The sequence below is a fragment of the Homo sapiens genome, chromosome 13 (genome assembly GCF_000001405.40).
Source record: "Homo sapiens chromosome 13, GRCh38.p14 Primary Assembly".
Taxonomy (NCBI): Eukaryota; Metazoa; Chordata; class Mammalia; order Primates; family Hominidae; genus Homo; species Homo sapiens.
In genome coordinates, this window is record NC_000013.11 from 42,424,779 (window position 1) to 42,442,008 (window position 17,230).

The 17,230-nt window shown below is 39.6% G+C and overlaps 1 long non-coding RNA gene across 1 annotated transcript in view; it reads left to right on the forward strand.

Annotated features, from left to right (window-relative positions):
- Positions 1-113: 113 nt before the first annotated feature.
- The window catches only part of LINC02341 (long intergenic non-protein coding RNA 2341), a 61,065-nt gene continuing 43,948 nt past the window's right edge, over positions 114-17,230 (forward strand). Inside the window, exons 1-3 of the long non-coding RNA NR_135319.1 lie at positions 114-200; positions 10,422-10,515; positions 12,540-12,694. This is a non-coding gene — a long non-coding RNA (long intergenic non-protein coding RNA 2341). The remainder of the gene's footprint in view (positions 201-10,421; positions 10,516-12,539; positions 12,695-17,230) is intronic.

Below are 17,230 nucleotides of genomic sequence, written 5' to 3' on the forward strand. Positions count from 1 at the left end.
ATATACAAGAAATGAATCAATAAAACCACAGACTGGTGGAAAATATTTGTGATACCTATATCTGACAAAATACTTAGATCTGGACTGTATAAAGAACTCTTGGGGGGAGGAGCCAAGATGGCCGAATAGGAACAGCTCCGGTCTACAGCTCCCAGCATGACCGACGCAGAAGACCGGTGATTTCTGCATTTCCATCTGAGGTACCGGGTTCATCTCACTAGGGAGTGCCAGACAGTGGGCGCAGGCCAGTGGGTGCGTGCACGGCGCGCAAGCCAAAGCAGGGCGAGGCATTGCCTCACCTGGGAAGTGCAAGGGGTCAGGGAGTTCCCTTTCCGAGTCAAAGAAAGGGGTGACGGACGCACCTGGAAAATCGGGTCACTCCCACCCGAATATTGCGCTTTTCAGACCGGCTTAAAAAATGGCGCACCACGAGACTATATCCCACACCTGGCTCTGAGGGTCCTATGCCCACGGAATCTCGCTGATTGCTAGCACAGCAGTCTGTGATCAAACTGCAAGGCGGCAGCGAGGCTGGGGGAGGGGCGCCCGCCATTGCCCAGGCTTGCTTAGGTAAACAAAGCAGCCAGGAAGCTCGAACTGGGTGGAGCCCACCACAGCTCAAGGAGGCCTGCCTGCCTCCGTAGGCTCCACCTCTGGGGGCAGGGCACAGACAAACAAAAAGACAGCAGTAACCTCTGCAGACTTAAATGTCCCTGTCTGACAGCTTTGAAGGGAGCAGTGGTTCTCCCAGCACGCAGCTGGAGATCTGAGAACCGGCAGACTGCCTCTTCAAGTGGGTCCCTGACCCCTGACCCCCGAGCAGCCTAACTGGGAGGCACCCCCCAGCAGGGGCACACTGACACCTCACACGGCAGGGTATTCCAACAGACCTGCAGCTGAGGGTCCTGTCTGTTAGAAGGAAAACTAACAAACAGAAAGGACATCCACACCAAAAACCCATCTGTACATCACCATCATCAAAGACCAAAAGTAGATAAAACCACAAAGATGGGGAAAAAACAGAACAGAAAAACTGGAAGCTCTAAAAATCAGAGCGCCTCTCCTCCTCCAAAGGAACGCAGCTCCTCACCAGCAACAGAACAAAGCTGGATGGAGAATGACTTTGACGAGCTGAGAGAAGAAGGCTTCAGACGATCAAATTACTCTGAGCTACAGGAGGACGTTCAAACCAAAGGCAAAGAAGTTGAAAACTTTGAAAAAAATTTAGAAGAATGTATAACTAGAATAACCAATACAGAGAAGTGCTTAAAGGAGCTGATGGAGCTGAAAACCAAGGCTCGAGAACTACATGAAGAATGCAGAAGCCTCAGGAGCCGATGGGATCAACTGGAAGAAAGGGTGTCAGCAATGGAAGATGAAATGAATGAAATGAAGCGAGAAGGGAAGTTTAGAGAAAAAAGAATAAAAAGAAATGAGCAAAGCCTCCAAGAAATATGGGACTATGTGAAAAGACCAAATCTACGTCTGATTGGTGTACCTGAAAGTGATGGGGAGAATGGAACCAAGTTGGAAAACACTCTGCAGGATATTATCCAGGAGAACTTCCCCAATCTAGCAAGGCAGGCCAACGTTCAGATTCAGGAAATACAGAGAATGCCACAAAGATACTCCTCGAGAAGAGCAACTCCAAGACACATAATTGTCAGATTCACCAAAGTTGAAATGAAGGAAAAAATGTTAAGGGCAGCCAGAGAGAAAGGTCGGGTTACCCTCAAAGGGAAGCCCATCAGACTAACAGCGGATCTCTCGGCAGAAACCCTACAAGCCAGAAGAGAGTGGGGGCCAATATTCAACATTCTTAAAGAAAAGAATTTTCAACCCAGAATTTCATATCCAGCCAAGCTAAGCTTCATAAGTGAAGGAGAAATAAAATACTTTACAGACAAGCAAATGCTGAGAGACTTTGTCACCACCAGACCTGCCCTAAAAGAGCTCCTGAAGGAAGCGCTAAACATGGAAAGGAACAACCAGTACCAGCTGCTGCAAAATCATGCCAAAATGTAAAGACCATCGAGACTAGGAAGAAACTGCATCAACTAACGAGCAAAATCACCAGCTAACATCATAATGACAGGATCAAATTCACACATAACAATATTAACTTTAAATGTAAATGGACTAAATGCTCCAATTAAAAGACACAGACTGGCAAATTGGATAAAGAGTCAAGACCCATCAGTGTGCTGTATTCAGGAAACCCATCTCACGTGCAGAGACACACATAGGCTCAAAATAAAAGGATGGAGGAAGATCTACCAAGCAAATGGAAAACAAAAAAAGGTAGGGGTTGCAATCCTAGTCTCTGATAAAACAGACTTTAAACCAACAAAGATCAAAAGAGACAAAGAAGGCCATTACATAATGGTAAAGGGATCAATTCAACAAGAAGAGCTAACTATCCTAAATATATATGCACCCAATACAGGAGCACCCAGATTCATAAAGCAAGTCCTGAGTGACCTACAAAGAGACTTAGACTCCCACACAATAATAATGGGAGACTTTAACACCCCACTGTCAACATTAGACAGATCAACGAGACAGAAAGTCAACAAGGATACCCAGGAATTGAACTCAGCTCTGCACCAAGCGGACCTAATAGACATCTACAGAACTCTCCACCCCAAATCAACAGAATATACATTTTTTTCAGCACCACACCACACCTATTCCAAAATTGACCACATACTTGGAAGTAAAGCTCTCCTCAGCAAACGTAAAAGAACAGAAATTATAACAAACTATCTCTCAGACCACAGTGCAATCAAACTAGAACTCAGGATTAAGAATCTCACTCAAAGCCGCTCAACTACATGGAAACTGAACAACCTGCTCCTGAATGACTACTGGCTACATAACGAAATGAAGGCAGAAATAAAGATGTTCTTTGAAACCAACGAGAACAAAGACACCACATACCAGAATCTCTGGGACGCATTCAAAGCAGTGTGTAGAGGGAAATTTATAGCACTAAATGCCCGCAAGAGAAAGCAGGAAAGATCCAAAATTGACACCCTAACATCACAATTAAAAGAACTAGAAAAGCAAGAGCAAACACATTCAAAAGCTAGCAGAAGGCAAGAAATAATTAAAATCAGAGCAGAACTGAAGGAAATAGAGACACAAAAAACCCTTCAAAAAATCAATGAATCCAGGAGCTGGTTTTTTGAAAGGATCAACAAAATTGATAGACCGCTAGCAAGACTAATAAAGAAAAAAACAGAGAAGAATCAAATAGACACAATAAAAAATGATAAAGGGGATATCACCACCGATCCCACAGAAATACAAACTACCATCAGAGAATACTACAAACACCTCTACGCAAATAAACTAGAAAATCTAGAAGAAATGGATAAATTCCTCGACACATACACTCTCCCAAGACTAAACCAGGAAGAAGTTGAATCTCTTAATAGACCAATAACAGGAGCTGAAATTGTGGCAATAATCAATAGCTTACCAACCAAAAAGAGTCCAGGACCAGATGGATTCACAGCCGAATTCTACCAGAGGTACAAGGAGGAACTGGTACTATTCCTTCTGAAACTATTCCAATCAATAGAAAAAGAGGGAATCCTCCCTAACTCATTTTATGAGGCCAGCATCATTCTGATACCAAAGCCGGGCAGAGATACAACAAAAAAAGAGAATTTTAGACCAATATCCTTGATGAACATTGATGCAAAAATCCTCAATAAAATACTGGCAAACCGAATCCAGCAGCACATCAAAAAGCTTATCCACCATGGTCAAGTGGGCTTCATCCCTGGGATGCAAGGCTGGTTCAATATATGCAAATCAATAAATGTAATCCAGCATATAAACAGAACCAAAGACAAAAACCACATGATTATCTCAATAGATGCAGAAAAAGCCTTTGACAAAATTCAACAACCCTTCATGCTAAAAACTCTCAATGAATTAGGTATTGATGGGACGTATTTCAAAATAATAAGAGCTATCTATGACAAACCCACAGCCAATATCATACTGAATGGGCAAAAACTGGAAGCATTCCCTTTGAAAACTGGCACAAGACAGGGATGCCCTCTCTCACCACTCCTATTCAACATAGTGTTGGAAGTTCTGGCCAGGGCAATTAGGCAGGAGAAGGAAATAAAGGGTATTCAATTAGGAAAAGAGGAAGTCAAATTGTCCCTGTTTGCAGATGACATGATTGTATATCTAGAAAACCCCATGGTCTCAGCCCAAAATCTCCTTAAGCTGATAAGCAACTTCAGCAAAGTCTCAGGATACAAAATCAATGTACAAAAATCACAAGCATTCTTATACACCAACAACAGACAAACAGAGAGCCAAATCATGAGTGAACTCCCATTCACAATTGCTTCAAAGAGAATAAAATACCTAGGAATCCAACTTACAAGGGATGTGAAGGACCTCTTCAAGGAGAACTACAAACCACTGCTCAAGGAAATAAAAGAGGATACAAACAAATGGAAGAACATTCCATGCTCATGGGTAGGAAGAATCAATATTGTGAAAATGGCCATACTGCCCAAGGTAATTTACAGATTCAATGCCATCTCCATCAAGCTACCAATGACTTTCTTCACAGAATTGGAAAAAACTACTTTAAAGTTCATATGGAACCAAAAAAGAGCCCGCATCGCCAAGTCAATCCTAAGCCAAAAGAACAAAGCTGGAGGCATCACGCTACCTGACTTCAAACTATACTACAAGGCTACAGTAACCAAAACAGCATGGTACTGGTACCAAAACAGAGATATAGATCAGTGGAACAGAACAGAGACCTCAGAAATAACGCCGCATACCTACAACTGTCTGATCTTTGACAAACCTGAGAAAAACAAGAAATGGGGAAAGGATTCCCTATTTAATAAATGGTGCTGGGAAAACTGGCTAGCCATATGTAGAAAGCTGAAACTGGATCCCTTCCTTACACCTTATACAAAAATCAATTCAAGATGGATTAAAGATTTAAACGTTAGACCTAAAACCATAAAAACCCTAGAAGAAAACCTAGGCATTACCATTCAGGACATAGGCATGGGCAAGGACTTCATGTCCAAAACACCAAAAGCAATGGCAACAAAAGACAAAATTGACAAATGGGATCTAATTAAACTCAAGAGCTTCTGCACAGCAAAAGAAACTACCATCAGAGTGAACAGGCAACCGACAAAATGGGAGAAAATTTTCGCAACCTACTCATCTGACAAAGGGCTAATATCCAGAATCTACAATGAACTCAAACAAATTTACAAGAAAAAAACAAACAACCCCATCAAAAAGTGGGCGAAGGACATGAACAGACACTTCTCAAAAGAAGACATTTATGCAGCCAAAAAACACATGAAAAAATGCTCATCATCACTGGCCATCAGAGAAATGCAAATCAAAACCACAATGAGATACCATCTCACACCAGTTAGAATGGCAATCATTAAAAAGTCAGGAAACAACAGGTGCTGGAGAGGATGTGGAGAAATAGGAACACTTTTACATTGTTGGTGGGACTGTAAACTAGTTCAACCATTGTGGAAGTCAGTGTGGCGATTCCTCAGGGATCTAGAACTAGAAATACCATTTGACCCAGCCATCCCATTACTGGGTATATACCCAAATGACTATAAATCATGCTGCTATAAAGACACATGCACACGTATGTTTATTGAGGCATTATTCACAATAGCAAAGACTTGGAACCAACCCAAATGTCCAACAATGATAGACTGGATTAAGAAAATGTGGCACATATACACCATGGAATACTATGCAGCCATCAAAAATGATGAGTTCATGTCCTTTGTAGGGCCATGGATGAAATTGGAAATCATCATTCTCAGTAAACTATCGCAAGAAGAAAAAACCAAACACCCCATATTCTCACTCATAGGTGGGAATTGAACAATGAGATCACATGGACACAGGAAGGGGAATATCACACTCTGGGGACTGTGGTGGGGTGGGGGGAGGGGGGAGGTATAGCATTGGGAGATATACTTAATGCTAGATGACGAGTTAGTGGGTGCAGCGCACCAGCATGGCACATGTATACATATGTAACTAACCTGCACAATGTGCACATGTACCCTAAAACTTAAAGTATAATAAAAAAAAAGAAAAAAAAAAAAGAACTCTTAACAACTCAAAAATAAAATGATTAATGACACAAAAACAAATCAGTTATGAAAGGCCAGTAAGCTCATGTAAGGCTGCCCAACATCATTAGACGTTAGGGAAATATAATAAAAATCACAAGGAAATACCACTTCATACTAAGTAAAATAGCTAAAATAAAAAAGATGTACAATAATAAACGTAAGCAAGGATGTGGGGCAACTGTGATTCTCATACATTGCTGCTGGGAAAGTAAAATTAGATAATTTGAAAAACTATTTTGCAATTTCTTCTGAACTTTATTATAAAGTAAAGTATATACCTACCCCATGACTTATAGGTATTTACACAAGAGAAATGAACACATATGTCCATAAAAAGACTTTTATGAGAATATCAATAGTGGCTCTATTCATAATAACCCAAACTTGAAACAACTAAAATGTCCCTCGACTAGCAGAATAAATAAGCAAATTGTGGCATATTTAGGCATTAGAATAATACTCAGCAGTAAAAAGGGAGGAACTACTGATACATGGAACAACATGAACACACTTCTAAGACATTATTTTGAATAAAAGAAGCCAGCTGCAAAAGATTCTATTACTACATTTAAGATGGAAATAAAAACAATGGCTGCCTAGGGGATGCTGGCGGTGCTGGCAATGGGGGGTAGGATTCAACAAAGGGGCAGGAGGAAACCTTCTGGGGGATAGAAATGTCCTATATCTTGCTCTTAAAATCTATGTATTTTATTGTAGGTAAGCTGTACCTCACTGAAAAAATATTTTAAAAAGCAAGGACCAAAGAGCTAATGCAAATGTGATGAAATGTTGGTAATTGTTGAATCTGGGGAATGGGCTTATGGGGGTTTATCAAACCATTCTCTCGACATCCTAATCCCTAGAATCTGTGAATATGTTACCTTACATTGCAAAAGGGAATTTGTATTTGTGACTAAGGTTAAGGACCTTGAGATGGGGGAGATAATCCTGAATGAATCCTTAAAAATGGAGAACCTTTCTTGGCTATGGTCAGATGAGGTATGACTATGGAAGAATGGTCAGAGATGCAACATTGCTGGGTTTTGAAGATGAAGGAAGGAGCTGTGAGCAAGGAAGAGGGGTGGCCTCTAGAAGCCGGAAAAGGCAAGAAAGGGGATTCTTCCTTCTAAGCTCCATAAATGCACCCCAGTCAACACTATGATTTTAGTTCATTAAGACCCATGTTGAACTGCCAATCTACAGCAATGTGAAACAATAAATATGTGTTGTTCAAGCTACTAAGTTTGTGACAATTTGTTACAGTAGCAAAAAAAAAGCAATATATGCATATAACTGATAAAATATTGATATCAATAATATATGAATAACTCCCCCAAATCAATAAGAAATGCATTAAAAGCAATACAAAATGAAAACAGGATATAAATAGACAATTAACAAAAAATAAAATGCATATGGCCAATAAACATATTTAAAAATGCCCAACTTTACTAGTTAACATTGAAATAAAAAATTACAAAATAGCTGAAAATACTCAATGTTGTGGATGAGTGGATAAACTAGAACTCTCCTACAGTGCTAAGTAGAATAACAAATTGGTATTAATACAACCACTTTTCAGAGTAATTTGATAAGCTCTGAAAATACATATACTTATGATCTAGATATTCCAGTTTTAGGTATATTCTCCAGAGGAACTTGCACATGGGCTCTAGAAGACATGCTCAAGAATGTTTATTAGGTCGTCATTTGTAACAATAAAAGATTGGAAACAATCTAGATATTCATCAACAAGAGCATATACAGCTAACCTGGGGCATTCTGGTCAAAACTGCAGTTGCTCTTTATTGCACTCAGAGTCAAAGTCAAAGTTCTTACCATAGCCTTCAAGGCTGTCTGTAATCTGGCCCTCATTATAATCTTATTGATCTTCCTTTGATTTGCTTCATTCCAGCCACACTGGCCTCTCTGCTGATCCTTAAACATTGTAGACATTCCTCTACCTCAGGGGCCTTTGCACTGGATGTTTCCTTCTGCCTGAAGCACATTTCTTCCATATTTCTCACCTTCTTTAAGTATTTGATCCAATGTCACAAACTCAATAAGGCCTGCCTTGACCACTCTATTTAAAATTGCCACCTCCTCCGCAACTGATACTACCAACCCACCTTACTTGCTTTCATGACCTTTTGTATAGTATTTATCACTTTCTAACATGGCCAGGCATGGTGGCTCACGCTTGTAATCCCAGCACTTTGGGAGGCCGAGGTGGATGGCTCACCTGAGGTCAGGAGTTCAAGACCAGCCTGGGCAATATGGTGAAACCCTGTCTCTACTAAAAATACAAAAATTAACCAGGTGTGGTGGCGCACACCTGTAATCCCAGCCACTCGAGAGGCTGAGGCACAAGAATTGCTTGAACCCGGGAGGTGGAGGTTGCAGTGAGCCAAGATCGTGCCATTGCACTCCAGCCTGGGTGACAGAGCAAGACTCCGTCTCAAAATAAATAAATAAATAAAAATGTTTGTGGCACCCCATCTTCACACTCTGTCTCTTGCTGCCATGTAAGACATCCTTGCTTTCCTTTTGCCTTCTGCCATGACTGTAAGTTTCCTGAGGCCTCCCCAGCCATGCGTAACTGTGAATCAAAAAATTATATAGTCTCAGGTAGTTCTTTATAGCAGTGTGAAAACAGACTAATACACTCATTGTTTATGATGATCTAATTCCATAAAAAACAATAAGGTCCAGAAGGGTGAGGGTCTTGATTGTGTTTCACTAATATATTCTAAGATCCCAAAGTTGTGCCTGACATGTAGTAAGGATGCAGTACATATATTTTGAATAATTAATAAATGAAATATATTCAGACAGAGGAATATTATTTACAAAAAGTTTCAAAAATTTATAAATATGAATTGTATATGAATATACATGTTTGTATTAGTAATATAAGCAACTTTCATTAGACTGATAGATATTAAAATTAGGGTGCAATTATTGTTGGAGAAAAGGGGAAAGTAAGATTATGGTGGTATATACAGGAACTTCAATTGCACCTGAAATGTTGTATTTCTTAAAAAGTAAGAGTTGAAGCCAATATAAAATTTAAGATTTAAAAATGTGTGATATGTATATGAAGTGTTATTATTCTGTATGCTTGTCTGTATGTATAAATTTTGTCATAATAAATTTTTCAAAAATAACAGAATAGGAAATGTGAAAGTAGAGATAACTCTACTTTAAAATTGTGCTTTAAAATTGTGCTGACACAATTTTAAAGAAAGTTAGCCTGAAAAGAAGGCAAGAAAGTGGAAGATAGAGAGGATGTAGGGTTTGAAGGAAAACTTTTTTTTTTGAGACGGAGTCTTGCTTCTTTGCCCAGACTGGAGTGTAATGGCAGAATCTGGGCTCACTGCAACCTCCACCTCCCCAGTTTAAGCGATTCTCCTGCCTCAGCCTTCCCAGTAGCTGGGATTATAGGCATGTGCCACCACCCCCAGCTAATTTTTGTGTTTTTAGTAGAGATGAAGTTTCACCATGTTGGCCAGGCTGGTCTCGAACTGCTGACCTCAAGTGATCTGCCCGCCTCAGCCTCACAAAGTGCTGGAATTACAGGCATGAGACACTGTGCCTGGCCAGGAAAACTTTTTTTAAGATGAGAGACTTGGACATGTCTACATATTGAAGGGAAGGAACAAATAAAGGAAGATAAAGGAATGGTGAGAAGTGATTAAGACTTTAACTTCTGAGAAGGGTGGGAGTTATGGCTTATCAGAGGCCACAAAATATTGCAGAGCCACACTGATGGACTGGCTCTTATTCACTCATTTATTCATTCATTCACTCATTCAACCAATATTATAGGCCCACTGTTGAGAAAATTTCAGCATCTCTCTAGAGGATTCCCAGCAGAAGGGGTATCCTTTAGGGAGAACCAATATTCATTCAACATTCAGCGGGGTGGAGAATGTGTTTCTGGAAGAGTTTGAGAATAGAAGCATCAAGAGCTAGGAAAAACAAGTTGGAAGGGAAGATAGCAGAGAGAACACAAAAACTTGAAATTATGAGTCCCATGAAGACAGGAACAGAATCCAACCCTGACATAATGAAGTAGGAGATTTGCCCATTGATAGAATGAACTAGCTTGGTGGCCCCTGCCATGACTTGATGGGGCTGGAGACAATGAGTTTGAGTTGTGATCTGGTACTCTCTGTTGCCCACGGTGCTGTACTGCTCTTGAGGCCATTCCTAAGTGTAGCGTTAACTCTGTCACCTCTTTTACAGGTCTCACCTACCAAATCATAATAAATATCTATATATTTGGAGATAGAGATGAAAACCATGTGGCTGTATCCAGTTGGAGTGAAAAATATGAACTGTAAGTATTTTTTTATTGTGGAAAAAAGCACATGTCATAACTTTCTAGTGTTAAGTGTACAGTTCAGTAGTGTTAAGTATATTCACATTGTTGTGAATCAGATCTCCAGGATTTTTTCTTCTTGCAGAACTAAAACCATACCCATTAAAAAACAATTCTCATTTGTCTCCTATCCCCATTCCCTAGTAACTTTCATTCTATGTTTTATAGCTATGTATTTGACTACTTTAGATATCTAATGTAAGTAGAATCACACAGTATTTGTCATTTTGTAACTAACTTATTTCACTTAGCATAACGTTCTCAAGAGTCATCCATGTTGTAGCATGTGACAGGGTTTCCTTCCTTTTTAAGGCTGAGTAATATTTCATTATGTGGATATACACATTTTGTTAATCCATTCATCTGTCCATGGACACTTGGGTTGTTTCCACCTCTTAACTATTGTGGATAATGCTGCTATAAACATGGGTGTGCAAATATCTCTTTGAGACCCTCCTTTCCATTATTTAGGATGCATACCCAGAAGTGGGCTTACTGGATCATATAATAGTTCTATTCTTAATTTTTGGAGTAATTGCCATATTGTTTTCCATAGCAGCTGCACCATTTGCAATTCTACCAACAGTATGCAAGAGTTCCAACTTTTTTTTACATTCTTGTCAGCACTTGTTATTTTCTGAGTTGTTGATAGTAGCCATCCTAATAGGTGTGAGGTGATATCTCATTGTGGTTTTGAAGTGCATTTCTTTAATGATTAGTGATGTTGAACATCTTTTCATATGTTTCTTGGCCACTTGTACATCTTCTTTGCAGAAATGTCTATTCAAGTCCTGTGCCCATTTAAAAATCAAGTTATTTGATTTTTTGTTGTTAAGTCCTAGGAGTTCTTTATATATTTTGGACACCAACCCCTTATCAGATATATAATTTGTAAATATTTTTCCCATTCCATAGGTTGTCTTTTCACTCTGCTGATTGTGTCTATTGATGAACAAAAGTTTTTGAGTTTGAAATAGTCTCATTTACCTATTTTGCATCTGTTGCCTATTTCGTGTCATTTCTAAGAAATCATTGCCAGATTCAATATCATAAAGCTTTCCCCCTTTTTCTTGTAACAGTTTTGTAAGTTTGGGTTCTTACCTTTGGGTCATTAGCCCAAGTTAATTTTTGAACATGGTGTAAGATAAGTGTTCAATTTCATTCTTTTGCATGAGGATATCTAGTCTTCCCAATACCATTTGTTGAAGGGACTGTCAATTTTTGATATTTTCAAAGAACTAACTCTTAGTTTTATGTAGTTTTCTATTATTTTCCTATTTTCTATTTCATTTGTCTCTGCTCTAATCTTTATTTTCTCCCTTCTGCTAGCATTAGGTTTAGTTTGTTTTTCTTTTTCGGGTTCCTTGAGGTGTAAAGTTAGGTTTTTAATTCGAGATCTTTCTTCTTCTTTTAATTGTATGTTTATAGCTATAAACTCTCCTCTTAGCACTGCTTTTCCTACATCTCGTAAGCTTTATTTTTATTTGTCTCAAGATATTTTCTAATTTCTCTTATGACTTCGTCTTTGACCTATTGGTTGTTTAAGGTGGTGTTTTTAAATTTCCACTTATTTGTGTATTTCCAGTTTTCCTTCTGCTATTGATTTCTAGTTTATTTTTACCACTTTTAGAAAAAGATAGTTTCTATAATACTGGTCTTTTAAAATTTGTTGAGCTTTGTTTTGTGGCTGTATATTTTTTTAAGGAAGGACAGCTTAATTGCTTTTAGGTCCTGCATATGAAAATTCAAATTATAGTTAGGTGTGAATTCATGGACACAGTCGTTGTTACATCTCTAAATGGGGAATCTGGGAAGTATTACATAATCATGAATCACAAACATGAATCCTAAGTTAAGTCATCTATTTTACAACCTTTCACTCAACGAAAATTATGTATGGAACCTACAATCATAGTCTCATAAAGTTATGTACTGGTCAAATTGGCCTTAGTGGTCACTTAATGTGTTCCCTTATGTTGCAGATGAAGAAAGAAGGAGTTCTGCTTCTTCCAAAGGAGTGACTCCCAAAGGAACAAGAATTGACCATAGGTTATGGCTTGTGTTACAATACACCGATGTTGTCTTTGAGGCCATCCACTGACGTCCTCACCCATGGCATAAGCAAGTTTTTCTGAAGGTATTTTTGGATGTTTACAATGTTTGCATAGTCTAAAACTCAGAACTATTTTTAAACTAGATTTATTCTTTAGAGAAGTTTTAGGTTCACAGCAAAATTGATCAGAAAGTATAGAGAATTCTCATACCTTCTGCCCCTACACAAGCATAGCCTCCCAAACTAGCAACATCCTGTACCAGAATGGTGCATTTGTTACAACCAATTAACCCGAACTGAGAAATCATTATCACCCAAAGTCCATAGTTTAAATTAGGGTTCACTCTTGGTGTTGGTATGTTCTGCTTTAAAAAAATATGATATTAATACTTATTTAAAATTTACCACTTAGCCATTTATAGCATACAGTTCAGTAGTGTTAAGTATATTCACACTGTTGTGAAACAGATCTCCAGAACTTTTTCATCTTGCAGGAGTTTAAATAACAACTCCAGTTTTCCTCTTCTCCTCAGCCCCTTGGTAACCACCATTCTACTTTCTGTTTCTATGAATTTGACTACTCTAGGTACCTCATATGAGTGGAGTCATACAGTATTTGTCTTTTTGTGACTAGATGATTTCATTTAGCATGTCTTCAAGGTTCATCCGTGTTGTAACATGTGACAGGATTTCCTCCCTTTTTAAGGCTGAGTAATATTCCACTGTATGTATATAGAACATTTTGTTTATCCATTCATCCTTTGATGAACACTTGGGTTTCTTCTACCTTTTGGCTATTGTGGGAATAATGCTGCTATGAACATATTGAGACCCTGCTTTCAATGCTTTTGGATATATACCCAGAAATGGGATTGCTGGATCATATAGTAGTTCTATTTTTAATTTTTGAGGAATTACCACACTATTTTCCATAGTAATTGCACCATTTTACAGTCTTACCAACACTGGTTCCAGTTCCTCCACATCCTTACCAACACATTATTCTTTTTTCTTTCTTTTTAAATAACAGACATTCTAACAGGTATGAGGTGTAGAATTTAGAACTTGTTAATCTCTCTCACGGATTTCTTTCTCACAACGGAACTTCCACAGAATTTTGTTTTTTCATTGTGTTAGGGTTAACTGCCAACTTCCTATTTAGGATTGGGACAAAAATTCTACAGACAAAATATGGGGGAAATGAAATGTTTCCTAAGGAAGAGAAATAGATTTGTGAGATATTATGTATCAATGAATTATTCCTAAAAAGCTTTAAAGTAGGACAATTATCCTGGATTACCCAGGTGGGCCAGATGTAATCATATGAGCCCTTGAAATCATAAGAGGAAGGTACAGGGGAAGTCAGAGGGCTGTGAAGTATGACAAGTGCTAAATCCACCATTGCTGGCTTCAAGACAGAGGGGAAACATGGGAACCATGAGAAGGAAATGAATTCTGTCGACAACATGAATGGACCAGAGAGTGGATTCTCCCTTAGAACCTCCCATGGAGAGCCTTGACACCCTGAGTTTGGACTTGTGAGATCCTAAGCAGAATCCCAGCCTAGTCTGCTGGACATCTGACCTATAAAACTGTGAAATAATAAATGAGTGTTGTTTTAAGCTGCCAGGTTTGTGGTAATTTTTGTGGCAGCAATAGAAAACCAAAGCACTAGATATTCATTTTATGTGTTGAAAACAGTAGAACGTTCTCTCCAGATGAAATATTTGGATCACTGCAGAGCTTCTTTGGTCACATCTAGGGATTGTGTGTGAGACTCCACTGAACATATCTTCCAGGCATCCCCTCAAAGCATTTGAATAGATTTAGATATAGACATCCTATGAGTAAACCTGATCTCAATACTTAACTGCAGTGCACTGTGGCTTCTGTTACTTCTTCATCATTCCCACTGGACTGTATAATCCATAAGGGCAGGAGCCATTTCTTCTTAATTTTCATTCCCCAAGAGCAAAACACAGTGTTGACAAAAGGTAGGCACTCAATAAACATTTTTATGAATGAATGTTAAGAGAGTTTGACAACTAATGTCTCCAGAGGACAATATTGGTTATGGGTAGAGGCAGAGCAAAGAACTAGAAGCACAGCAGTGAACAAGATAGGGAAGGAAAGAATTTCATGGACAAAGGAATGTAGAGTTTAATACATGCATAATTATTGTTTGTTTAAAAAATTTCCATGATATATTTCTCCTACTGGCACCACCAGTGGAATCAATTTCAGGAAGTAGGCTGACCGTTGCATAAGTGGCTTGTGAAACATCACATCGTAGCTCACATTCCCAACAACTTGAATAAATATGTGTGTGTGTGTGTGTGTGTGTGTGTGTGTGTGTGTGTGTGTAGTTTACCCCCCAAGGACAATTCTCCTGGCTTCCCTGCAGCTGAAGTCAGATTTGTGTTTAGTAATCTCGTGGTGACTATGTTTTCCCTGCGGGAATAGAATACACCAGGGTTGATGCCCCCCATGTGGAGAGGAGCTGAGACTCCGTGCAGCTTGGTGAGGTGTGGGTACACAGACAGTCCAGGGAACTTGGTTCAAGCTCCGAGAACCTGAAGATGGCCTGTGAGGCTGCAGCAGGAGAACACATGTTACTGGTTATACCCCAAAGGCAAGCCAGAGGCAGGGGCTGTGAAGATGGCAAGCCAGAGATGTCTGTGAGGAAGGCAAGCCGTGGGAGCATGCAGCAAATGGGAGGAACCTTAAGCACACACACCCCCAATTCATTTTTGTGAAGACTGACTCTGTCTTGAAAACTAATTAAATAAATGCCAGCCCATTCTCTCTTCCCAGTGCACTTCTTACTATTTTAGTCACTGTAATTGAGAGTAGAAATAATCTCCACTGTGCCTGAAAAACAGCTCTTGGATACTCTATTTTACATGAAGTAGAAAAACATGAGGTGAATGTGACAACTGGCCTTCAAGGAATGGCAACTGGCTGTATATCCAGTTTCACTGGTTTTGCTCTGCAGTTTGTGATTTGTGCAGTTAGTGAAGTAGATCTCCACATGCTTTCAGGGTTTTTGTTGCCCCTGGTACTGGAGCAGAGAACTATTATCAGGAGTAAATTTTATGACTTCAATCTAGGTTGTGAATTTGGGTCAGCCATTTTACCATTTAAAGTCTCCACTTCTTGTTCTTAAACAAAACAAAACAAAACAAAAAAACAGAATAAGTCAAAGAGGAGATGAGAGGTAGAGGAACTTGAAAGTGCTCACTTTTAAAGCTAGCTTCTGGACTTTTCTTATTTCATCACTTGATGGTTTTGTCTACTTTCCATGAATTCTAAATTTTATGGTGGGTTTGGAAGAAACATGTCTTCTATATATGGGCAGATCCAGGTTTTGTGGAGCTTGAGCCTTAAGCAATGTTGGAAACCCTCTTTAAGGAAAAGAGGCCGGGCGCGGTGGCTCACGCCTGTAATCCCAGCACTTTGGGAGGCCGAGACGGGCGGATCACGAGGTCAGGAGATCGAGACCATCCTGGCTAACACGGTGAAACCCCGTCTCTACTAAAAATACGAAAATTAGCCGGGCATGGTGGCGCGCGCCTGTAGTCTCAGCTACACGGGAGGCTGAGGCAGGAGAATGGCGTGAACCCAGGAGGCGGAGCTTGCAGTGAGTCGAGATCGCGCCACTGCACTCCAGCCTGGGCGACAGAGCGAAACTCCGTCTCAAAAAAAAAAAAAAAAAAAAAAAAAGAAAAAGAATACGGGCCGGGCATGGTGGCTCATGCCTGTAATCCCAGAACTTTAGGAAGCCGAGGAGGGAGGATCCCTTGAGGCCAAGAGTTTGAGACCAGCCTGGGAAACATAGAAAGACCTTATCTCTACAAAAACAAAAAGTGAAAAAATTTAACCAGGTATGGTAGAGCACACCTGTAGTCCCAGTTACTTGGGAAGCTGAGACAGAAGGATAGCTTGAGCCCAGGAGTTAAAGGCTGCAGTGAGCTGTGATCAGGCCACTACACTCCAGCCTGGGTGAGAGAGAGAGATCCTGTCTCAAAATAATAATAATAATAAGAGAAAGAAAGAAATAATTTTAAAAAACACACAAGGTACCTACATTGGCAAATTTTACAAAAATATATGACCCTGTGAACACATCATCACCTCCAGGGCCAGGGAATAGTTTGTGCAGATGAGTGGCCCTGAATCTCATGCTTTATGACTTCCTGGTAAATCCACCTCCGCATCTACACGTGAGAATCATGTTGCTTCCCTGAGAAGAACAGAGTGAGGCAAGAGCAAAATACTGTATTAATCCAATCAGACCTAAAATGAATCCTGCCCTTTTACAGAGGAACAGAGGAGGAAACTGGGGTTCAGAGAGGACAAGTAACACCCAACATCACATATACAATCAGTGTTAGAATCTGCTTCCTTTAACTTCAATTTTCAGACTGGTATTTCTGTGCTATTTCCCAGGAAAGCTTGTAAAACCAGAGGAAACAATAGGAGTAAATATGTTACAGTCTGTTTTTCCTTATAGAGGTACTGTATACACACAGCCAACAAGGAGGACATAGCCAACCCAGTAGAATCTGAGAGAGGATGACTGAGAGATTTTGCATCATCTGATCCCTTCCCTCTTTCCTG